General features: G+C 46.8%; 1 long non-coding RNA gene across 6 annotated transcripts in view, besides 5 other annotated features; it reads left to right on the forward strand.

Annotated features, from left to right (window-relative positions):
* Positions 1 to 24,912, forward strand: part of LOC105378654 (uncharacterized) — a 77,745-nt gene that overhangs the window by 20,183 nt on the left and 32,650 nt on the right. For 4 of the 6 annotated variants that reach the window (XR_001737987.2, XR_002958294.2, XR_001737986.1 and 1 more), the window contains exon 2: positions 15 to 145. The exons of 1 other annotated variant lie outside the window; for it this stretch is intronic. This is a non-coding gene — a long non-coding RNA (uncharacterized LOC105378654). Of the gene's footprint in view, positions 1 to 14; positions 146 to 600; positions 1,382 to 24,912 lie in introns of those variants that run through there. One more of the 6 variants, XR_007065910.1, reaches the window with a different exon arrangement.
* Positions 11,421 to 11,680: an enhancer, noted in NCBI's record as "active region_788". NCBI's record gives its function as "activates an Ori minimal core promoter by ATAC-STARR-seq in GM12878 lymphoblastoid cells {active_cell/tissue: GM12878}" and the evidence as "EXISTENCE:reporter gene assay evidence [ECO:0000049][PMID:35858748]".
* Positions 11,961 to 12,010: an enhancer, noted in NCBI's record as "active region_789". NCBI's record gives its function as "activates an Ori minimal core promoter by ATAC-STARR-seq in GM12878 lymphoblastoid cells {active_cell/tissue: GM12878}" and the evidence as "EXISTENCE:reporter gene assay evidence [ECO:0000049][PMID:35858748]".
* Positions 12,021 to 12,070: an enhancer, noted in NCBI's record as "active region_790". NCBI's record gives its function as "activates an Ori minimal core promoter by ATAC-STARR-seq in GM12878 lymphoblastoid cells {active_cell/tissue: GM12878}" and the evidence as "EXISTENCE:reporter gene assay evidence [ECO:0000049][PMID:35858748]".
* Positions 12,121 to 12,170: an enhancer, noted in NCBI's record as "active region_791". NCBI's record gives its function as "activates an Ori minimal core promoter by ATAC-STARR-seq in GM12878 lymphoblastoid cells {active_cell/tissue: GM12878}" and the evidence as "EXISTENCE:reporter gene assay evidence [ECO:0000049][PMID:35858748]".
* Positions 12,842 to 12,921: an enhancer, noted in NCBI's record as "active region_792". NCBI's record gives its function as "activates an Ori minimal core promoter by ATAC-STARR-seq in GM12878 lymphoblastoid cells {active_cell/tissue: GM12878}" and the evidence as "EXISTENCE:reporter gene assay evidence [ECO:0000049][PMID:35858748]".

Here is a 24,912-nt window from a genome sequence, read left to right on the forward strand (position 1 = left end):
TTCCAATTTTACAGATGGAAAAAAGAAGCTTGGAGAAGGGGAAATGACTTTACCCAGCTAAGAATATGGCAAAGCTGAGCCAACTAGTCAAGTTTTCTGACCCCAAATCCTGTATTTCCCATGACTCATCTTGTGGAAGGCTGAGGTATAACTGAGTAGGTTTATCTAGCTAAGTCCAATAGCAATGCCAAAAGGTGAAATTCAAGTTCTATGAGAGTGGACACACCTGCCAACTTAGCCAGGAAAGTGTGTGTCCCATGTGTGGGTATGTGTGGTTGTGTTGGAGGGTGAGGGTAAATTGGTGAAATATCTCCCCCAACTCTCCAAGCCCTCAGAAATTCCCAACTCACAGAAGAGCATATTTTCGAACACCTTTCTGAGACCATCTTACCCAGGTCCATCTTTTGAAAAGCCTTGTCCAACAAAGCTGAATTCAAATGAAAGAGAAAAGCATTCCTTTTCCAAGGGTCTCTGTATCCTGTGTCCAACCTGAGCCAACCAAATAGCTCAAGACCTGGGAGAAATCTGAGATTAGAATATCTAGATTTTAGTTCTGATTCTGCCACTCTATGATGTGAATAATTCCCTTTCTCTCCTCAGGCCTCAGTTTCTCTGTCAGCACCAGATGGGGACTTCTTCAGCCTGACACTCCATAACTCAAGGTTGCACCCACATCTCCTACCTTTGGGGGAAGGAGAGAGGGATTATGGGACAGTGGCATCAATCTCCTTCCCAGGATGGATCCTCTGAGCTCTATATTTCTTGCCTATAGTGACCAGGGAATTTTCCTCTATTGATTGCTTTCTGTAATCGAGCTTAACAAATAGAACTTCCCTCAAATGATTCTTCCAACTAAACTGATAGAAAGCTAACCTTGTTATATTTATTGACAGAACATTGAAATAAATATTATAGGTCTAGAGGGAATGTTTCAGCTCATTGATTTTTTTAAGGAAATAATAAATGGAGCCTATTCCCTTTGGCATATTATGCTGGGAATAATCTGAAAAAATGCTTAGCTTGTTCAACACAGAGCTTAGAAACCCTCCTTCCACTCCCAGTGGAGCAGGGACCCTTTGCATAAATCTGCTTTGGCCCAGACAATCAATTTTCAATTTTAATTATTTTCAAAACTCGTTTATTATTTGCTTGTTCTGTGAGTTTGGAGCTTTGCTTTTTAGTGAATTTGTAGCCAGAGTGGTCAGAGCTCTGGCCTGGATGGGGAACCTGTGGGATTTCTTAGTTCTACCCACCAGAGAGGAAAACTCACTATCCCTCTTTCCAGGGACATTTGTTCTAGAACAGGGTCTGCAAACTATGACCTCTGGACCAAATCCAGCCCACTGCCTGTTTTTGTAAATAAAGTTTTATTGGAAAACAATCACGCCCATTCGTTTGCACGTTGTCTGTGATTGCTTTCTTTTTCTTTTCTTTTCTTTTTTCTTTTTTTTGAGATGGAGTCTCGCTCTGTCACACAGGCTGGAGTGCAATGGCGTGATCTCGGCTCACGGCAACCTCTGCCTCCCAGTTTCAAGCAATTCTCCCTCCCCAGCCTCTCGAGTATCTGGAATTACAGGCACCCTCCATCATGCCCAGCTAATTTTTGTATTTTTGCAGAGATCGGGTTTCACCATGTTGACCAGGCTGGTCTTGAACTCCTGACCTCAGGTGATCCCCCGTGCCTTGGCCTTCCAAAGTGCTGGGATTACAGGCGTTAGCCACTGCGCCTGGCCGACTACTTTCTACTACAATGGCAGAAGTGAGTAGTTGCAACAGAAACCACAGGGCCCACAAAGCCAAAATATCTACTACCTGGTCCTGTGCAGGAAAATTTGCCCATCTCTGTTCTAGAGTGTCTTCTCTCTTGCCCTTTTAAATGAAGCCAGCATCCTTCACCTACTAATTCTGGGGCTCCCTGGACTGAGTGGCTACTATAATAACAGTAGCCAAAGCCTACATAGTGCCCTTCTAGGTACCCAGCACTACCCGAAGAGTATTACATTTGTTAGTTGTCATTTTATCCTCACAGCTCTTTGAGGTAGGGCAATTATTAGCACTTTTAAAAATGTGGAAACTGAGGCACAGAACAGTTGAGTATCTCATCTAAGGTCACACAGGTAGAAAATAGCAGAGCTAGCATATAAATCTAGGCTGACTGGTTTCAGGGATGGTGTCAGAGGTGGCAGGCTCTCAGGGAAGGTCTAGATCAATGTCCCCAAAGGGCAGATGGAGAAACTGAGGCCCAAAAGGCAGTCACACAGCTGGTGGTACAGCTGGAAGTAGAATCTAGATAAGGGTTCCAAGGCCAAGTCTTTTTGTTGTTATTATTACATTGTTTTACTCAGCTTCTTTTTATCAGAGCCACGCAAGGGGATTCAAAGACCATTAAAGCCAAGCCCTGTATCACCCACATCTCCCATCCCACCGAGGCTTTGAGAATCATATTATCTACTACATCACTCACTGCATCTCTTTCTCACAGTCATTTCTTCTTTTACTCTCCTAGGTTGGTGGAGGAATTTGGTACCTGGCTCAAGGGTTTCTTTTTTTGGGCAGTTTCAGCATTCATTCATACCATAAATGCTGCTGAGGACCTAGAACACACTATATTTGGTGATTTGCATGGTCATTAGCAGCCCTTTGGGAAAGAAGTTAAACCGTGTTATAGACTAGCATACAATCAAAAGTTTGGGCTACATAGATGGCAGTCTTTCCCAATTAAAAAAAAAATCACTCGTTGATCCCTTGTCCTCCCTGCCTATCACCATGACTTTGACCTTCCATTCACAGCCAGACTGACCAGATGAGTTTCGACTCCATGACTGTGTCCATGTCCTTCCCTCCTACTCACTCCTCAACGCACTCCAGTCTGGTGTCCATCCAGAGGCCACCATGGAGACTGCTCCAAGGAGGCCCCTAGTGGTCCCCACACTGGAAGGTCAGTACTTTCCAGTTGTACCTTCAGACTTTCTCCTGCCTTTTGAAACTGTTGAGCACTCCCTTCTCCTTGAGAGGTTTGCCCTCTAGCAACACTCCTCTTGCTCTTCCACCTCTCCAGGCATGCCTTCTCAGGAGCCTTTTCTGGTTCTGCTCCACCTGTCTTGTTCAATTTTGGGTTGTCTTGGGTTGCATCTTAGACCCTCCACTTACCGCACATAGGATCAAGCCATAGCTCCAGCCACTTACTGCTTATTCCCCCAGGATTTCCTCAGATCTCAACCAGCATCCTAAATCTCTTTCCTGAACTTCAAAGTACAACCAGACATCATTTGGAAGTCCCTCAGGTACTTCAAAATCAACTTTTCAAAACTGAATTCATTATTGTCCCCTCCCCATACATGACCCATATTGATGACTTATTTCAGCACCTACCAAGCTGTTCAAGCCCAAGGCTCCTGCTGTTTCATCTCGTCTTTAGAATTGGCCCTATTGATTCTGGTTCTTAAATCCCTCTCACATTTATTCTTTCCATTTCACTCTTGATGCAACTGCCTTACTTTAGGTTCCTGTCATCTCTCACCTGGATAATTAATTAGTTAATTAATTTAACAACTATTTATTGCATATTACTATGTGCCACTCTCTGGGGGAAATGGTATTGAACAAGACAGACATTGGCCCAGCTCTCATGGGCTCAGATCCTTAGCAGGGAGAGAGCTTCAACAGATAAAACAAATACTTAGATAAGATAATTTTAGATAATGTTAGTCCTGTGAAGAAAGTAAAATTGGATAACGTGAGTGAAAGTGACTGGAGGCAAACTTCTCTAGATTGAGGGTCAGGAAGGGCTGTCTGGGGAGGTCACATTTGAGCTGAGATCCCACAAAGATAGGTGAAAGAGCATTCCAAGCAGAGGGAACAACTGGTGAGGAGGACTTGAGGTGGGAATAAGCTTGGCTGAGTTCAAGGAACAGAAAAAGGCTGTTGGAGCTGGGGTGTAGTGTGTATGGAGAAGACCAGCAGGAAGTGCATTTCAAGAGGCAGGTAAAGGCCACAACATACTGGACCTTGTAAGCCATGGTAGAGTTTGGATTGTATTCTGAGGGTAATGAGAAGCCTTTGAGAGGATTTTAAGCAGATGAGTTCTGATTTACATTTTAGAAAGCTTGGGCTGGGCACAGTGGTTTATGCCTGTAATCCCAGCACTTTGGAAGGCCAAGGTGAGTGGATCACTTGAGGCCAGGAGTTCAAGACCAGACTGGCCAACACGGTGAAACCCTGTATCTACTAAAAATACAAAAATGTAGCCAGGCATGGTGGCGTGTGCCAGCTACTCAGAGGCTGAGGCAGGAGAATCACTAGAACCCGGGAGGCAGAGGTTGCAGTGAGCCGAGATCCTGCCACTGCACTCCAGCCTGGGTGACAGAATGAGACTCTATCTCAATTAAAAAAAAAAAAAAGAAAGAAAAGAAAAGAAAACAAAAAAAAAAGCTTGTACTATGTGCTGAGAGTGGGTTGCATGAGGTCAAGTGTGGAGGCAGGGAGGCAGGGGCCACTGTAATTGTGTGGCTAGAATGAAGTTGTGAAGCTAAGACAGGAAGGGATGTGGTGGGGTCAGGATTTGTTTTGGAGGCGATGCCATCAGTCTGTAGATGGATTGAATGGCGGGGTGCGAAAGAAAGAGGAGGCAAGTATGTCTCCTCAAGACCTTACCCTTCTCCCTCCCTATGAAAAGAAAAAATAGCAAGCTCTGAACAAGAATTACATCTCTTTTGCCCTCTCCTGCTCTGACATCCTGGCACAGAAAGGTTCTGGCGCCACACTTGTCTTGCCCAGAGGCATCCTGGCCTGGGGTTGAGACTGGGGTGTGCCGCATCATGAACTGAGCCACTGGGGATGGAGTTGGGTCATCCTCCCACACCCAACTGCTCTTTGTCCTTAGAGCCAAAGCCTTCATCCTGGCTGCCCTGTGTTAGCCAGGAGATGCTCCTACATGGAGCCGCAGATTCCCCGACACTGCCTCAAAGGCTGAGAGTCACAGGATTACCTATAGGCTCCACCCCTCCCTAGCCTGGCTGAGCTCCAGATGCCTCCAGGCAATGGCTAGAGCAGCCAGCATGAGCCCCACATGGGCTGCTTTTCAGCTATGTGACCTTGGGTAAGTCATTTCACCTCTCTGGGCTTCACTTTCTTCATTGTATATTGGGGCAAATTAATTCTATCCCACCGGGTTATGGTAGGATGGAAAGGCCTGGCCTTGACTTCTGACTCCATTTTGGGTTTTGGAGACTTTGGGTGCTAGAATCCTCCTCTCTAGAATCTTCCTTGTTCATCCACAAGGAAGGATGAACTTGTGTCTCTGGAGGCTCTAGGGGAAAAGAATAACTTGGTTTTAGTTTTGCAGAAGCAGGTGAATTCTCCATGAGGGAAGGTGGGAATGGAGTGAGGAGGGTAGTTTCCCAGGATTCTCTAGATATGCCTTTTCCTGACTATGATATTCTGGAAACACTGAAGCCATCTTTTCACCTTTAATTATCAACCTTTGCAAGTGGAGATCAACGGTAGTAATATGTTCAGGGACCAGGCAGGGCATGAGTGAAGTGGGCTTTGTGGGGGCTGCGGTCAGTATGAGAGTTCATACTCCATCCCAAGGGAGTCGGGGGAGGGAGAGTAGCCACTGCTTAGCTCCAGCCAATTGTTGACATTTGGGAAGTTGAACCTGGTGTCGCCAGGTCTTCTGAGTTTCCAAGAGAAGTCAGAAATCTGGAATTTTATGTGAGATCTCCTGAATTTTAAATGTTGGCAACTAACTCAATTAAACAAAAATACCAATGTGGGACAAGCAAGAGTTCCAGGATGCATTTGGCCCGCGGGTGGCCAGTTTGTGAAGCCTGATACAGAGTCACTGAGGAATAGTTAGGGTCTAACAATAGCCAGGTGCACCAGCTCACAGTGAATACAAATATAAAGCACTAGGAAACACTGACAACTTCATGTTTACGTATCCTGACCGGAAATACTTTTCACATCTGTAGAAGATGGAAAGGCTTGTGACTTTTCATTTTCACTAAATACTGAACAATATCCAGTGTCCCTGTTAACATTGGTTAATCAGTTGATGGCTGAACACAAAGTGTGTTATACCTATTCATATATGTGTGTGTGTATATATATATATATATGCATATTCATTTATTTATTCACATAAGCTCCTGTCAACAAGTTCCTATAATTACAGTGTAAGACACAACTTTGGCTCTGTGTCAGGTTAAAAATTATTTGAAATAGGCTGGGCATGGAGGCTCACACCTGTAATTCCAACACTTTGGGAGGCTGAGGCGGGTGGATCACGAGGTCAGGAGATCGAGACCATCCTGGCTAACATGGTGAAACCCCGTCTCTACTAAAAATAGAAAAAAACTAGCCAGGCATGGTGGCGGGCCCCTGTAGTCCCAGCTACTTGGGAGGCTGAGGCAGGAGAATGGCATGAACCCGGGAGGTGGAGCTTGCAGTGAGCCGAGATCCCGCCACTGCACTCCAGCCTGGGCGACAGAGCGAGACTCTGTCTCAAAAAATAAATAAATAAATAAATTAATTAAAGCAAATTACTTTAAATAAAAAGCAGGATAAAGTAAGTACTCTAAGAGTTACAAGCAAAGGGCTGTGTAAGTGAGGCACAAAGATAATATTGATTACCTTTAGGGGACTTGGGGACAGCTTCAGAGAGGAGATGACATTTAACCTGAGCTTTGAAAGGTGAGTGAGGGGAGTGTGAAGGAAGTAGATTTCTGTTAGGATTCTTGTCTGCAAGCAACAGAACTAACTCAGCATCACCAATTTTGATGGTTATTTTGATGTGTCATCTCTACTGGCCATAGGATACCCAGATATCTGGTTAACATTAATTCTGGGTGTGTCTGAGAGAGTATTTCCAGAGGAGATTAGTATTTGCATTGGTGGACAGAGTAGAGCAGAGCACCCTTCCCAATGTGGGTGGGCCTCACCTCATTTGTTGAGGGCCTGAGTAGAACAAAAAGGCAGAGGAAGGCTGAGTTGGCTCTCTCTGCCCGTCTGCTTGAGCTGAGACATCGGTCTTCTCATGCTTGTGGACTGGGACTTGCATTGGCACTCCTGGTTCTCAGGCTTGTGGACTCAGTCTGGAATTTACACCACTGGCTTTTCTGGGTCTCCAGTTTGCAAATGGCAGATCGTGGGGGTTTTCATCCTCCACAGAACCCTGATTAATACAGTAATTAACAGAAGGCTAGGAACTCACACCTGTGAAAGGCAGGGATTGAGGAAGCCTGGATTGGCAGCCTGGATTAGGAAGCAGGAAGCTGAGAAACTGCTAAGAAGCAGGATTGAACTCTGCCACCATTCAAGTTAGCCTCCAAATGGCCGTGATCCTTGCACCTTTGCTCAGGATTCAGCTTCCTGGGAGACAGTGACTGGCTGGCTGACTTTAGGTCCTGTCTTCCCCAACCTCCGCAGACAGGTGAAGGCTAGGGCCCTCTTTATGTGCATAGTTGGTGTGGAGTAGTGGGAAGTAGACACAGGAATTACCCTTCTGCCAAGGCTCTATGCAATGGTAGTTATTCCCAACCAGTGCTCACTAATGAGGAGGGCACCCCTCCTCTTCCAGATGGAGCAGTTAGTCCTGTGATGGTGCAGCGCAGGGCCTCAAGAGGACTCCAGGTTCTGTGAGGCGAGGAGATGTGTGGCAGAGGCTGAGTGGGGAGGCCTTACTGATCTTGGGTTTCCATTGGAGCCCATCACCGCACTGCCTCTGAACCACACTAAGGCACACACTACAGTCAGGAACACAGTTACTTCCTTTGTTCTACTGGACAAGGGGCCCTGTTCCTGTCTCAGGTTTTATTCCTCCTTATCAACTACAAAGAAATAATGGCTTATTTATTAAAGAGAAGCACCTTTTAGTTTCACTTATTAAAAGAATGAACAAAAAGGAAAAGTAATTTAATTAGTTTTGGAAACAATCTAAATATGTAGTAATAACAGGTTGATTAAATAAATTTCAGTACATATAATAGAATTAATCTGTCAAGGTTGCAAAACAGCCTAGCTATTCCAACCCTATTAAACAATTATATCAAACACACAGACCACACACACACACACACACACACTCAGAAAAATGACTGGAAGGATGTACACCAAAATGCTAGTGGTGATTATCTCTGGGTAGTAGGATTCCGGGTGAATTTTATTTTCTTCTCTTTGCTTATTTTATCTTTCTATAGTTTCCCTCCCTCTCTCCCTTCCTTCCTTCCTTCCTTCTTTCCTTCCTTCCTTCCTTTCTTTGACGGAGTTTCACTCTTGTTGCCCAGGCTGGAGTGCAAAAGAGCAATTTGCCTTCAAGCCATTCTCCTGCCTCAGCCTCCCAAGTAGCTAGGATTACAGGCATGCACCACCACACCTGGCTAATTTTGTATTTTTAGTAGAGACGGGGTTTCTCCATGTTGGTCAGGCTGGTCTCGAACTCCCGACTTCAGGTGATCTGCCCACCTCAGCCTCCCAAAGTGCTGGGATTACAGGCGTGAGCCACCACACCCGGTCACCTTTCTGTAGTTTCTATAATAAACATGAGTTACTTTCCAATCAGAAAAAAGGTTGTGTTAGAAAAATAAATTTGTCATTACATTGATGAATAACAATCATCATGACAGTCCGAATAGACCAATCTTTTAATACCAGTCATGAAAATCAGCTGAGCATATACCAAGTGATGTGTAACACAGATCCTGAACAAAACCAAGAATGTGGCTGAGAAGTGGGTTGAAAGACATTTACATTGTCCCCAAATTGCCTTTCCCTCTCCCCACCCTACGAGGGACAGCCATCTTTCTGCTTGACACCTCCTCTGGGGGATGGGAAGCAGGGTCACTGCTCCATCCATCCAAGGCCTGTGGCTTAGTGATTTTGCCCATGAGATTTAGGACACTTTCACCATAATATTTATTCAGTTTTATGGCTTTAAATATAACCCTAACTCCTAATAATCAATATTGATTTAGCTATAATATCTTATTTATAGACATAGTCTTCTGGTTTGCATATGGGCTCAAACTGTAATGCAGTAGAAATAAGCCACTCACTGCCCTGGCCCTGGGCCACCAATGAAGAGACTATCAGCCCCTGATGGATGGCTCGGAGGCCCAGACAGAGTTTGGGTTTCTGATGCCCACTTCTCCCCACCCCCTCCAAAATGGCTGCTTTGGGCAAGGCAGAAAACCACAGAGCCATCCTGGGACTGAGAATGCCTTTTCACCTCATGCAACATAATTGTCATTCTTAAGGAGACAAGCCTTCCACCTGGCCTTATTGGAGGGCAGTTATAACCAGTAGAAATGCTAATAGAAATAGGACCCCGAGGGAAAGAGAAATAGCTAGAAGTACAAAAGTTTAAGGGTATGGCTTAAGAAAATAGAGACTTGCCTCCAACTTACCCCAAGTGGGCCTGACTGTGATGGTATGGATTTCTAGAGATATTATTTTGCTATAATTAGTGTTGAAGAGGTGTCCAGGCAGCACGGCCCCTCATAGGGGTGGCCACTGGCCTGGCCACCATGATCCTGTGTGATTAAGATCTACGAGGAAGGGTAGAAGAAGCCAGAACTGTCTATCCTAGAAAAGAGAACACTCAGAGAGACTGGTGATGCTTGCCTAAGACTAAGAGGTTAAGGAGATAGCCATCTCTTGTTTACCAATGAGCTATGCCTTCCTTTGATCAGAATAGTATTCATTGCTCAGAACACCCCCTCTCCCCTTGAAGTTTCTGGGAATTCCCATGTGTATTTGGTGAGCGTGGTGGGGATTTGTTATTTAGCTTCCTGTACTCTCCCCTGTGACATGCACACACCAACATCCATTCACCCTTGCATGGAAATGGCTCTAGATTCCACAAGTAGAGTCTATAGTCCAGGCCTCCCCAATCAGATCATCTCTTCTCCTTGATTGCAAATTTGTTCATGGTGAATCCCAGGACTTTGGGAGGAGCTACCAGAAAACAGTGTGGTTCTCTTTCATATACTTGAACCTGAGAGCATGTAGTGGCTGAAGCTCCTGAAGCCACCTTGATAATTAGGTTGTGCTTGAGAAAAAAACCAACATAAAATAGATGAATTGAGAGATATCTTGCAAGAGACACATACTATTTCTTCTGTACCTACAATCCTCCCACCCCCACTCCATACAGTACTAAGGAGCACATGACCTTTTTTCTTGATCACAAATGGTTTTACTAGGGGTGAGCGCCTAGCTCCACTTGACCAATCAGACTTATTCTTTTAGCATTTGGAACATAGACACAGGGACTAAATCAGTAAGATGGTATTGGGCACTAGAATGGAATAGTCATGTAGAGTTGGGGCCAAAGTAGATGCTCCAACTTATCCACCTGCTCCTGGGACACACTCCCCTTCACATGCAAGTCAGAGTTATGGGGGAATGCAGAGAAACAGACATAATAAATATATGAATAATGTTTTGGTTGTCTCTTGCTGTATAACAGACCAGCCCAAAACTTAGTGGCTTATAACAACAATTTATTATTATCTCTCATGTTCTGTGGGTTGACTAGAATTGGCTAGGTCCTTCTCATTTGTGGTCACTCATACTGTTACAATCAGACTATGGCTGGGGCTGGTGTCATCTGCAAGCCCAGCTGGGATGGATGCCAATCATAGCAATTGACACTGTCTATAGTCAGGGAACTCTGCTAGGGCTGTTTCCAGAGTAGCTACAAATGGCCTCTCCACGTGGCTTGGGCTTCTTACCGCATGGTAGTTGGGTTCTAAGTAGAAGTGTCCTAACAGCAAGTGTCTGAAGAGAAGGGGAGCAAAAATGGCCAGTCTTCTTAAGGGCTAGGCCTGGAACTGGCATAATATCAATTCTACCCTGTTCTGTTTGTCCAAGCAGTCATAGACTACCCTAGACTTAAGGGGTGGGAAACATAGACTCCACCTCTCGGTGGGGAAAATGGCAGTGTTACAGGCAGGGAAGGAATTGATGGTGGCCATCTTGGACCTCAGCTAGCACAAATAATAATGATTTCTAAGGGTAACTGGTGAAGCTTGTTAACAATTGTGCAAGGCACTTTATATACACCATTTCCTTTAAGGTGCTTTATATACACCATTTCCTTTAATCCTTAGAACAATTTTATTATTACACATTTTACAGTTGAGGACTTTAAAGCATGGAGAGGATGAAATAAAATATGGAGGATATTGTAGTGTCAAGGAGCAGAATTAGGCTGGGCGCGGTGGCTCACGCCTGTGATCCCAGCACTCTGGGAGGCCGAGGCAGGCGATCACTTGAGGTCAGGAGTTCGAGACCAGCCTGGTCAACATGGTGAAACCCTGTCTCTACTAAAAATAAATTAAAAATAGCCAGGCATGGTGGCAGGCACCTGTAGTCACAGCTACTCAGGAGGCTGAGGCATGAGAATCACTTGAACCTGGGAGGCAGAGGTTGCAGTGGGTCGAGCTTATGCCACTGCACTCTAGCCTGGGCGACAGAGTGAGACTGTCTCAGAAAAAAAAAAAAAAGAAGAAGCAGAACTGACTAAACTAAAAAAGGTTTAGTAAGATGAGAAGAAACTCAGTGATGGAAAACCCCTAGAAATTGCCCAATCCAACCCCTTCATTACACAAGGAAACCCATACCTAGAGAAGGGAAGAGGCTTTTCAGTACCACCGAAAAAGGTTTAAATGATATGCCCACTTATTTTCTCACTTAAGAGGGATATGAGAAGATGGGGCAAATCCAGGAAAGCTGTAGCTGGTGGTTCAAGTCTCATCAAGTTTCTTGTCAGCTTTTCACTTTACTACCCTCAGAATGTGAGTGATCTCGTCTTGGTCAGCCAACTGTAGCAGGTGATCTCAGAGCTACTCACGGATGATTGGAGCAGGGGGATACACCTCACCAATCTGGACCGATCACATGGAAACAACCTCATGTGGCCACATCTAAAGCTGGAAGGGAAGGATAAGCTTCTCCATGTGTCTCCTTCTTCCACTAAGCTCCATACAGACTTTTCCTTCTACGTCATTGCCCAGAACTGGGATACACCAATCATTGACAAAGGAGAATAGGATTATCAAGGCTGATTTAGACGAGTCATGATGCTCCCTTGGGCTGGTCTCTTTATAGCCTGATATCTGAGCAAACTCTGCATTCTGTTAGCAAGGAAGAAGGACGAGGTATAGCTATTGTATAGGTAGCCAACATTTTCTGCCACATGCAGCTTTAAGAGGTAAAGAGAATGGCGTCTGTTCCTGAGGTTTCAATTCCACTTCTGGGCTCCTGTGGGCTAGATGTGCTGTTTCCTGTCCTTGAGCATCTGTGAAATTGCCTGTGATATCCTGACAATTAATTATCATTTACTTAAGCTAACTTGAGTGGGTTTCTGTTCCTTGCAACCAAATATGTTGTGCCTAAGAAAACCACTGAGACACTTCGTGACGCTTTTGTTTCATAATTTTCTTGAATAGGTTTTTCTAGAGTGTTTCGTAATTGACTAAAGTGCTCGTGCCTGTGTGGCACTGGACTTGCATTCAGGAGACCTGAGACCCAGTCTTGGGTTGGCATGCTTGCTACCATTACTTCTAGAAACCATGGTGAGCATTGCTGGTTAACTACAGCATTCCTTCCCACTGAACCCAAATATGGCCCTAGAATTCTTAATACAATGCTCAAAGCCAGCCAACTGGTCAGAGTTGGTATATGAGATGAAATCCATTTTCCATTTGCAGCTCTAAGCTTGGTGGTACCAAAAAGCCTCTTCCCTTTACTAGGTATGGGTTTCTCTGTGTAATGAAGGGGTTAGATTGGGTGCCTTCTAGGGGTTTTCCATCACTGAATTTCTTCTCATCTTACTACCCAAGTTCCATTTACCAGGCTTGACATAGCCCATGGTTTCTGATCACACCACAGGGAGCTCAGAAAGTGAAATGGCATGATCCTGGGTGTAGGTAGTAGATGTAGACTGGTCACGTTCCAGTGATTAGGGATGCTTCATCTCTTCATAGGATTCTGGAGGAGCTCTGGTCTTCATGTGGTGACTCTGGAGCTCCCATTCCCTAGTGTCACTGAGAGGGGAACACATAGGCAGCTGGATTCTGTCGCTTTATGAAAATCCTATGGGCAGTGTAGAGCTGTGGTTAAGATCACAGCCTTGGGCTGAGAAAGGCCGAGGTTCAAGGCCTGTCTCTGTTTCTTCCTGTGTGTATGACTTTAAGATGGTTATCCAGCCACTCTAGGCCTCAGTTTCCTCATCTGCAAAGTGAAAATAACACTACCTCTATTGTAGTAAAGACAAAATAAGATTATGTGTGCAAAGTCATCAGTCAAATGCCTGGTACACAGGAAGTATTAAACACACGGTAGCTATTATTGTTATGCCATTTGGGGACATTTTTCATGTCATTGGGATGGTGCCACCCCTTTCCCGATATAGAGTCCAAGAAGGTCGCTTGGCCTGAGTCTGGGGCAGGCAAGAGGGAGGGAGGACAGGCAGTCTCTCCCAAGATGCTTGGGGCAGCCCATGACCTGCAATTCTGGTCCCACACTGAGCCGATTCCACTGTGACCCATATTTTATGCAATGCTGGCAGATGGGGCTCATTTGGAGGACAGTGGCTGGGAGCTGGGGTCAGCGAGGGGACTGCAAATATTGTCCCATGAGGCAGAGCCGAGGCAGCTTAGCCTGGAGATGCATGCGGGGCCTGTTTTCTTCCTCACACACTGAAAGGCTGTTATGGGCAGAGAGCGGATGCTGGCGGTAGCCCCAGAGAGGAGGGAGGGAAGCGCAGAAGGTGCCCTGTGATGGTGCCGCCTCTGCCGCTCACAGCCTGCCCAGTGGGGCTCTGAGCCCCTCCATCCCCTTCTCACTTCACACTGGTGGCTCTCATGGGGTGCTTTCTAAACACACCAGTTCCTGAACACCAGGAAAACACTGCTAGTTCAGTAGATCACAGTGGTAGTGGTGTGTGTGTGTATGGGGGGACACAATCCCCATCTCCTTCCCCGCTCCCCTTTTTCCTTGAGTTATTTGAGTAGGTTTTGCTTTCTTAAAATCCAATGACCCACAGATTGGAGGTGCCTGCACCTCCTTAGCCCCAACATGGGGACCTTAGTCCCTCCTAAGCTGGCATCATGGCAGCTGAGCATCGATATACCCAGCCCATGGCTCTGACCCCAGTTCCTTTGTGGCCCTGGCCATGCCAGCCAGACCTACTGGCGAGGACGAAGCCCCCTGTCATCTCTTTGTGTGGTGTTGTTTGGAGGCTGACTCTCTGCACCACAGGGGCCATGGGCATCCCCTTCCTCACCTAGGGGGCATCAATAGGCTCTTGGGGTGCACTGCCACCTCTGGCTACCCATGCCCTGGGTGATGGGGGCAAGCCCAGGGGAAGCAGGCCACTTGCTCAGGACCCTAGACTCTCAGCACGGCACTCCTGATACCCAGGAGCATTCAGGAGGCACTGACAGTTGTTGGTGGGGGTTGGCGGGGGGGTAGAGGGAGAGGGAAATACATTTTTAAAGATAACCTGGAGGCAAATATAATATTTATACTTATTTATCCTCAGAGCTCACTCACAAGGCCCCAGACATGTCTAATGAGCAGGAATTGCAAAATGGCCATGAGTCCTACTTGTTTGCCTTTGCAGAGTCTCTGAGCAGTCACATGGACCCAGATTTTTCAACTGTGTGACCGCTGCAGGCAAAACGGCTGTAAGGAACACCAGGACGTGCAGCAAGTGCCCGACTCCCAGAGGCATCGAGCCACAAAACTGCCAACCCAGGAAAATGAGGCGCTCCCTTCCACCCCCCTCTTGGCAGAACACAGAGCATTTGCACTTACACACGTGTGTCCTCGCTTCGTGTGCCGACACGTGTGCACACACGCAGGCACACAGAGACTCTGTGTCTTCATGGCCTCCCTCATGGGCCTGCAGGCATACCCTTGTCCAAATTCATACACACTCCCCTGTCTATTCAGACATGTTGTCCACAGGGACAGGATGCTCCGTGGCTAAGGGCTGGTTCTGGATGGGGGCTCTTCCCTGCTCCGCTCACTCTGGACACCAATGACTGTAAACACTATGTGAAGGGGCTTCCTATGCAGAAAGTCAACAACAGAATTAACTGAGACCAGCACAGTCTGCTCTGGAACGAGAATGACATACAGTTTACTATATGGTTAACTCAAGCATCTAGGCATAGTATCTATATGCATAGTTATATAAATACATATACAAACATATATGTATACATAGAAATAGAAAAGTGTATGGCTAGAGAAAATGTACAAAAATATACACATGCTGCACAATTGGACCTGACACTAACTTCCAGATCTTCCTCCTGCAGAGTGATGAAGCCTTTCACTGGTGGGGCTGCATGTATCCAGGCTCCCCAGATTGGGTCAGGTCTGCTGTTTTAAGGTTGGGAAGTCACAGGTGTTCCTTTTCTTCACAGCACTTCTTACAGTTGTTATTCTACCTCTGTCTGTGACACTGGCTTTTCCACACCGTGTTGCACTGGTTTGTAAGCTCCAGAAGGGTAGGGCCATATCTCTTTGCTTAGTATATATTTCAAGTGCCCAGCACACAGCAGGTCCTCAGTACATAGACGGCTGAATGAAGGCATGGCCCTTTCTTCTGTTGTTTTCTTTTTGTGTCCCATAGCAATCCAGTCGCACACGTTGGGACCAGGAGGGTCACTTCTTTTAATGCTGACAGCATTGAATTCCAGATCTTGGTCTGAAAAGTGCAAATTTCTTTCTTTCTTTCTTTTTTTTTTTTGAGACAGAGTCTCGCTCTGTCACCCAGGCTGGAGTGCAGTGGCGTGATCTCAGTTCACTGCAGCCTCTGCCTCCCCGGTTCACGCCATTCTCCTGCCTCAGCCTCCTGAGTAGCTGAGACTACAGGCTCCCGCCACCATGCCCGGCTAATTTTTTAGCCAGGATGGTCTCGATCTCCTGACCTCTTGATCTGTCTGCCTCGGCCTCCCAAAGTGCTGGGATTACAGGCGTGAGCCACCACGCCCGGCCGCAATTTCAAATACAACACCAACGCCAACTGTATTCCTAAGGAGGTGATTTTCTTCTCCTTTGTACCACTGGTAGCCTTTTTTTTTTTTTTTTTTTTTTTTTGAGACAGAGTTTCGCTCTTGTTGCTCAGGTTGGAGTGCAATGGCGTGATCTCGGCTCACTGCAACCTCTGCCTTCTGGGTTCAAGTGATTCTCCTGCCTCAGCCTCCTGAGTAGCTGGGATTACAGGCACCTGCCACCACACCTGGCTAATTTTTGTATTTTTAGTAGAGATGGGGTTTCACCATGTTGGCCAGGCTTGTCTCAAACTCCTGGCCTGCCTGGGCTGCAGGGGTTGGGGTGGGTGATTGTTTGGGAAGTCATAATCAGTTTGGGTTTTCTTTTTTTTTTGAGATGGAGTCTCACTCTGTCACCCAGGCTGGAGTGCAGTGGCACGATCTCGGCTCACTGCAAGCTCCACCTCCCAGGTTCAAGAGATTTTCCTGCCTCAGCCTCCCGAGTAGCTGGGACTACAGGTGCCCACCACCACGCACAGCTAATTTTTTGTATTTTTAATGGAGATGGGGTTTCACTGTGTTAGCCAGGATGGTCTCGATCTCCTGACTTCGTGATCCGCCCACCTTGGCCTCTTAAAGTGCTGGGATCAGTTTAGGTTTTCACAGGGCAAAGTTATTTCTAGACATAGTCTGGCCTGGAAAACATTCTTTTGGCGGGAGCAGCATGTTCTAAAAGCCATGCTGTGAAGTCTTCATATGCAATTGCACTGGGTCATGCCTGACCAGTTTTACTACAAGTCAGAAGAGGAGGTTGATAGTCTCTTGACTGATCAGGGCTAGGGCAGTGAGAAATCCTGACCCACTCATTATGCTAATTTCTATCAGAACACTTGCTCCGGCTTCTGGGTGGCCAGATGCCTGTCCCCTCACCTCCAAAGCAAAGAAGGAACTGCAGTTTTCTGGATGCCACAGATTTAATGCAGTTTTCTGGATGCCGCATGGTTTAATTGGAACAAACCATAAATTTCTTTAATAGACAGTTGGCTTTGCTAATGACTGTTTTAAAGAAGGGTTTCAGGGCTGGGTGCGGTGGTTCACACCTGTAAATCCCAGCACTTTGGGAAACAAAGGCGGGCAGATCTCTTGAGTCCAGTAGATTGAGATCAGCCTGGATGACATGATGAAACCCCATATCATCCATCTCTATAAAAAATACAAAAATTAGCCAGGCATGGTGGCATGCTCCTGTAGTCCCAGCTACTCAGGAGGCTGAGGTGGGAGGATCTCTTGAGCCTGGGAGGTCGAGGTTGAAGTGGGCTGAGATTGCCCCACTGCACTCCAGCCTGGGTGACAGAGTGAGATACTGCCTCAAAAAAACAAAAAAAACAACAGAAAAGAAAAAAGGGTTCTGGTTAAAAGCTCTAAACCCTACATCATTCTTTTGGGGCAGAACGCTTCTGACACATAACTGGCTTATAAACCCGAGTATCAGGGCACCTCATTTATTCACCCAGCAAGATGAACTTCCAGGTCTCACTATGTCATGGGTGGGTGGGAAAATCCATGGCGCAGATGCTGGTCTGCAGTCCTCATGACTGGTCGTCACGTAGTGTTCCCCACTCTCATCTTTCTGTTTACTTGGGATGTATAAATAAAGCAACAACAATAAAAACATAGAGCACAGTTAGCTCCCCAAACACCTCCCACAGCGTTAGGCCTTTCTCCTTGGAAAATTCTTTTGGTCCTGTGCAGTGGTAGTGGATGCTGTGTGTGACTGCCGGATCCCTTCTTTGGGAAGAAGGCACTCATTCCCCGGCTTCTGGAGCATTGGCTGCTCCCCGTGGAGTCCCTTTCTGGGAACTGCTCTTGGCTGAAGACACCCGGCCAGCTCCACGTTCTGTCTCCTCCCTGGGGGCAGTCCACATCCGGTCTTCGGCTGTGCAAGGGCACAAAGGCCCTGCCCCTGGCCTCAAATCGAACCTTCTCTGAAGTCCCAGCCAAGTGCCAGAGCTCCCTGTGGGAGCAGCTGAGGCCTTCATTTAGACTGCATTACAGTTCAATTTCTCTCTCTGTCCAATCCTGCTTCCTTCACCCTTGACACGTGTTGAGTTTCTTATAAATTCCATTTACATAAATCTCCATCTCAGAATGTTTCCTGGGGAATCTGACTTGCACCAGCCACCTGGGACCTTTGCAGCATTCCAATGCTTGATGCTTTTGGCGTACATGTGAAACCGCATGTTTTACATTGAGAAAGTCTGGCATGACCATAGCTAGTCCTGGGTAGCCAGGATTCAGGGTCAAGTGTGGTAAGATCTCAGGTGCTCTCTGACTGAAGTTTGTGGGATTTTAAATTCAACCCAAGACTTCCACTGAGCTTAACGCTTTGGATAGTAGGCAGGGCTTGCCAAGTGGCATGTTTATGCCCATGCAAGTCTGACTTCTGCATCTCTGCCTGTGCTCAAAGGAGTGACCTGCCTGTACCTGGGACAGTCAGAATGGAGCTGGAGGATCCTCAACACTTCCTCCCTTTCTCTTCACTTGGGGGCCTTCAGAAGGAGAATGTGAAGCTCAAGAGTTCATGTGAAACACGGATCTGAGAACTGTGCATATCCTGAGTCTGTTTGCACTGGGATCCCTTTTGGGGAGCTAACCCTGCTGACTTTATTTCCAGGATCCTCTGTGATATGGTTTGGCTGTATCCCTACCCAAATCTCATCTTGAATTATAGCTCTCATAATCTCCATGTGTCATGGGAGGGACCTGGTGAGAGGTAATTGAATCACGAGGGCAGGTTTTTCCTGTGCTGTTATCATGATAGTGAATAAATCTCATGAGATCTGATGGTTTTATAAAGGATGGTTCCCCTGCACACAGTCCTTTGCCTGCTGCCATGTAAGACATGCCTTTGCTCCTCCTTCATCTTCTGCCATGATTGTGAGGCCTCCTCAGCCACATGGAACTGTGAGTCCACTAAACCTCTTTTACTGTATAAATTACCCAGTCTTGGATATTTCTTCACAGCAATATGAAAATGGGCTAATACACTCTGTCAGCTGCCTGCTGCCTGGATTTGGCCAATAAGAAACATTGGTGGGCATCTGGATGGTGGAGGAAGAGGGAGAACCTAGGATATTTGTCCCTTTCCCTTTCTGTCTTGGTGGCTTCTCTAGCTGCGGCTGCATCCCCTCCACGGCTCCAACTCCTCTAGGTTCTGTGGCTCCGGTCTCTTGAGTGGCCCTGGCCCATGACATTACCTCCTCCCTTTGTCTCTCCAATCTAGAGGTGACAGTGACTTCCTGCTTATCTTTGGTCACCTCACTGTCACCTGGTGGGGGTTCAGTTTCTCTATGACCTATGTAACCAATTCCCTGCACTAAATTCCTCCTATTATAAATTCTTAAGGTGATTTCTGTTTTCATGGTTAAACTCTGACTCATACGAGAATTTTGTTGTTCTAGTGGAGTTGGGGTCTAATTTAAACAGGGGATGATCTGTTGAGCTCTGTCTGTAGAACAACTGGTCTAATGACTGAATCATTCCACAAAACTGCCAACAGATCACCCTGGATCACCCCTACTCTGTCCTGCCCCCACTTTCATCTTAGAATCCAGTCATGGAAGGGCTCTTTTGACCATGTCTGCCACACCCCTCCCCCGCTTTTTTTGAGACAGAGTTTCATTCTTTTTGTCCAGTCTGGAGTGCAGTGGTGCGATCTAGACTCACTGCAACATCCACCTCCCGGGGTCAAGCGATTCTCTTGCCTCAGCCTCCCAAGTAGCTGGGATTACAGGCACACACTACCATGCCCAGCTAATTTTTGTATTTTTAGTAGAGACAGGGTTTCACCATGTTGGCCAGGCTGGTCTCATACTCCTGATCTCAAATGATCTACCTGCCTTGGCTGGGATTATAGGCGTGAGCCACCACGCGGGGCCAGAACCCCCTTTTTATGGACTATCTCATGGGAAATATGCCCAATAAGACCCACTCTGGGAAACCGTTATGGCCTACACTTGGATTTTTTTTTTTTTTGAGACGGAGTCTCACTCTGTTGTCCAGGCTGGAGTGCAGTGGTGTGATCTTGGCTCATTGCAACCTCCACCTCATGTGTTCAAGTGATTCTCCTGCCTCAGCCTCCTGAGTAGCTGGGATTACAGGCACCCACCACCACTTCTGGCTAATTTTTGTATTTTTATTAGAGACAGGGTTTCGCCATGTTGGCCAGGTTGGTCTCGAACTCCTGACATCAGGTGATTCACCCACCTAGGCCTCCCAAACACTTGGATTTTTGACGGCCCATTTGGTTACGCACTGGGTTGGAGCTAGAGCTATTTTCAGAGGAAAAATACTGTCTTCTCTATGGACAGGAGTAACTGTCCATTTGGGTTCAAGTCCTGGTTTACCATGCTCCATAAGCTGGGCATTACTGATTTCCTTAGTATTTCCTTAGGGTTTATTTGTCCATTCTCAGCCACAGTAGAAAGCTGAGTCCACATCCTCTGATTATAGTTAAGGAGCTGAAACAGGACTTTTAGTAGGAGTGAATGGGGTAACCCACAGACCACCCTTAGCACAGTGCTTGGCTCTTGGGAAGGATTAAACAAATGCTGGCTGCTGTGAGCTCCACCTGCACTGCTCCAGACCCTCGATATATCCTCACTCAGGTTAAAAAACAGGCTAAAACCTTGGGAGGTTGAGGTGGGCGGATCATAAGGTCAGGAGATCGAGACTGTCCTGGCTAACACGGTGAAACCCCGACTCTACTAAAAATGCAAACAATTAGTTGGGCATGGTGGCATGTGCCTGTAGTCCTAGCTGTTCAGGAGGCTGAGGCAGGAGAATCACTTGAACCCAGGAGGCAGAGGTTGCAGTCAGCCGAGATTGCACCACTGCACTCCAGCCTGGGTGACAGAGCGAGACTCCAACTCAAAACAAACAAACAAAAAACAGGCTAAAACCTGCCTCTAGACTCGGTAAATTTCACGGCTACCTCCCATAGATTCTGAGATCTTGCTAAAGTCTCAGGGATCTAGGTTGCATGGGAGACCCAGAGCCTCTTGCATACGTTAGAGCCCATGACAACCCTTGTCCCCTGCAAAGCTTATTTAGGCCCTGCCTGGACTCTTGGGGATTGGCAGTGGGGTGTGTCTGAGCCACTCTCCAGTTCTGTCTTCTGGAGGTACCCTCTCTGCTGTGTCCTCAAGTAGTTAGCTCTGCTCTGCCTGGCCCAGCCCATGCAGCCTGGAAATCCTAGTGATCTGAGCCCCAAACAATCCCCCACCCCAGATACCTGTTCCCCCATCATCCAGCAGAAGTAAGGAAATGGAGAGAAGTTGCTACAGGAGCATTTGGAAATGGGAACCAATGTCAACTCTTGCACCAGGGACCAAAAGCTCAGACTGGTGCAAACAAAAGTGTTTTTGTCCCCAGGGGCTGGTGACCATGGTCACCTCCCAGCCAAGAAGCAGTGAGCTTCACAGAAAACTCCTTACTCCAGCTTGCACCAGGACAGGGCCCTCCTTGAAGCCTGGGGAGCTGACATTTCCAAGAAAGGGGTGGTGGGGGAGGTGGGACCGCAGCTGGGCCCCCGACCCCCTGCCGTCCTCAGCTTGGAGCCAGGGCCGGAAGGACCACTTCTAATAGTGACTCAGCCTTTGTCTTTGGCCAGCCCGGCTGCATGGGGCCAGGCGGGGTCTCTGCAGCTGGCTGAGTTTGCTTCCGCAGTTCTCAATCCTGGGTTTTTTCCACTGACCCCCAACTTTTTATTTTGGAAGTTTTCAAATTTACAGACAAGCTGAAAGAATGGTCTAATTATTACCCATGAACTCTCCATCTAGATTCAGCATTTGTTAACAGTTTGCCATCTTTCCTATCTCTCTTTTTTTGGTATAGTATTCGAAAACGGGTTGTAGGCATCATGATTCTTATCCCTAAATAATTCTCACGCTTCTCCTAAGAATAAAGACAATCTTCTTCATATCCACAATGCCATTATTGCATGTGAGAAAATTAACAGTAATTCCATAATATCAGTTAATTTCCAGTTTATATCCATATTTCCCAATTGTCCTAAAATGCATTTTATAGGTTTTTTTTATAGTTCAATTTAAAAAAAACCTAATTATGGCATATGTTTTTATGCTTTGCATTTTGTCTTTTAAAATCTAGAATCCCAGCACTTTGGGAGGCTGAGGTGGGAGGATTGCTTGAGGCCAGAAGTCGGAGACCAGCCTGGGCAACATAGTGAGACCCCCATCTCTAAAGTCAGGTGTGGTGGCACACACCTGTAGTCCCAGCTACTCAGGAGATTGAGGCAGGAGGATTGCTTGAGCCTAGGAGTTAGGGGCTGCAATGAACTCTGATTGTGCCACTGCACTGCAGGCTGGGCAACCGAGTAAGAAACTGTGTATCTAGGAGGAAAAAAAGTAAATAAAATCTAGAATAGCCCTTTTAACTTTTTTTTTTCTCCTATCAATTAGCTTTTTGAAGAGTCTAGGCCAGTTTTCTTGTACAGTAGAAGTTTCTACACACTGGATTTGTCTGATTGTTTCTATGTGATGTCATTTACCTTGTTTTTCCATCTTCATTTTTTTCCTGTAAGCTGGATGTTCATCCTAGATGCTTAATTAGATTCAAATTAAACTGTTTATAAGAATATGTCCCTAGTACTGTGCACATCACATTGTAACACATCAGGAACGTATTCTAGTTCGAACTTTTCTTGGTGTTCAACTTGAAAGCATGAAATAAGGTTTGATGATCACCTATCATATGCCAAGGGCTTTGCAGAGCTTCTTATCTGGACTTACAAAACAATTTGGAGGAGAGGAGATTGGCCTCCTTAGTTTATAGATGAAGAGCTGAGGCACGGAGGTGGCAGGGGCAGAGAAGAAAATGAACACTTGTCAAGGAACCATTGGTGTCCAGGGATGGGGCAGGTGTGAAAGCCGTGATGCTTTCATTATACAGGGAGCTCTGGGAAGTTAGATGGCTCACTTAAGTTCCCAAGGTCAGTTGAGGGGTAGAGCTAGCTTCATATTCAGATCATCTTCCTCCCAGTCCTGACCTCTCCCTGGATGTCCTTTTTGGGTTCTGCATGTCCAATGGATGCACTAGTCTGGAGTCCAGGCTCCATCGTGCTGGGTCAGCCTGGCATGCTCATGTCCTCAGTAGGCCCTGAGTGGTGACTCTGAAGGCCTGGAATCTGAGAAGATGCTTTAGGTCAGCGGCTGTTTATTTTAGTCCCTCATGACACTACCAGGACCAGAATAGGGTGGGTAAGTGGGTATTTCTTCTACCTCTCCCAAGAATTCAAGTGTAGGTGGAAGGAGGTGTGGCAGTGAGACCCGAGGAGGCCTCCTAATCTGGGGAAGCTAAAGGGCCAGACCACAAGCCCAGTGTCTAAGCAGAAGGCATCTGGGGAAACTGGGGCCTGATGAGGGGCAGAGGCTTGCCTCAAGTCACAGGTGGAGGCAGAGCTGGGAGTGGAACACAGGTGAGAGTCTGGACTCCTTAGGCAGTGAAAACTGTGTGAAAGGTAATCTTTTTTCAGAGTGGAACGGGAGCTGGAAGAGGAGTGCTCAGTGGAGGGCTGCAGGGGTGAGCTGATGGAGGTGGAGGTGGGCAGAGAGAGAACAACACAGGCAGGAGGCCACTGGCTTTCAAAGTGTGGGGTCCCCCAAGGTAACACAGGGCGTGGGTTGTAGGGTGCATGTGTGTCTGTAGGAGTTCCCCAAAGACTTTCTTTCTTTTTTCTTTTTTTTTAAATTGAGACAGAGTCTCACTGTATCGCCCAGGCTGGAGTGTAGTGGCCACAGTCTCTGCAATTTCTACCTCCTGGGTTCAAGCGATTCTCCTGCCTCAGTCACTGAAGTAGCTGGGATTACAGGCATGCACCAACACACCTGCCTAATTTTTGTATTTTTGGTAGAGATGGAGTTTTGCCATGTTGGCCACACTGGTCTTGAGCTCCTAGGCTCAAGTGATCCACCACGCTTGGCCCAAAGACTTGCTTCAGTGACATCATAGTGCCTCCCTGGCAGACACTGGGAGGACCTTCACTTCATCCATTCCCATCGCCTTGATTTCACCTTCATCTTCTCACTCGGGACTCTGATATCAGCCTCCTTGAGGGTCTCCAGCTGCCAGTTTCACCATTTCTAATCTATCTTCCACCCCGTGGCCAGAGCACTCTTTCTAAAACACCTCTGGTCAGGCCACTCCTCTTTAAACCTTTGTATCACTTAGCCGTTGCGATATAACAAACGACTCCAAAATTGAATGCCTTAAAAGAGGTCAGTGGGCCAACTCCACTGATCTCTGCTGGGCTCCATCATGTGTCTGCTGGCAGGTCATCTGGGAACCACTGGTGGCTGGATGACCCGGGATGGACTCGCTGACATGTTGGGTTGTTGGCAGGTTGCCAGTAATTTGGGCTGGGCTCCTCTGGGACACCTCATTTCTCCTCCGTGTGGCCTCTTAGGCTTGTTTCCATGGTGGTCTCAGACTTCAAGAACACTTTTCAAACCTTTGTGCTGCATTTGCTAATGTCCCCTTCTGCAAAGCAAGTCACATGGCCGACATGCTCATGTCCAGATGTAGTGGGGAGACTGGGGTGGGCAAACAGATTCCACCTCTTTATGGGAAGGGGAAATTTGTAACCATTTTGCAGTCTACCACAATCTTTCCAGACTCCACAGTGCTCTCAGGATACAGTCGTACCCTCTATACTCTCTGTCACCTGTTCCCAAACTATCTTCCCATTGTGCACCCCACACAGAGCTTGTGCTGCAGTTTACCCGGAATCTCACCATTTTCAAAGCACCTTTCTTCTCCAATGCCTTTGTGTGTGCTGTTCTCTTTGACTGGGGTGCCCTCCCCACCTCTGCATCCTGTG

This window comes from Homo sapiens, chromosome 1, assembly GCF_000001405.40.
Source record: "Homo sapiens chromosome 1, GRCh38.p14 Primary Assembly".
Lineage (NCBI taxonomy): Eukaryota > Metazoa > Chordata > Mammalia > Primates > Hominidae > Homo > Homo sapiens.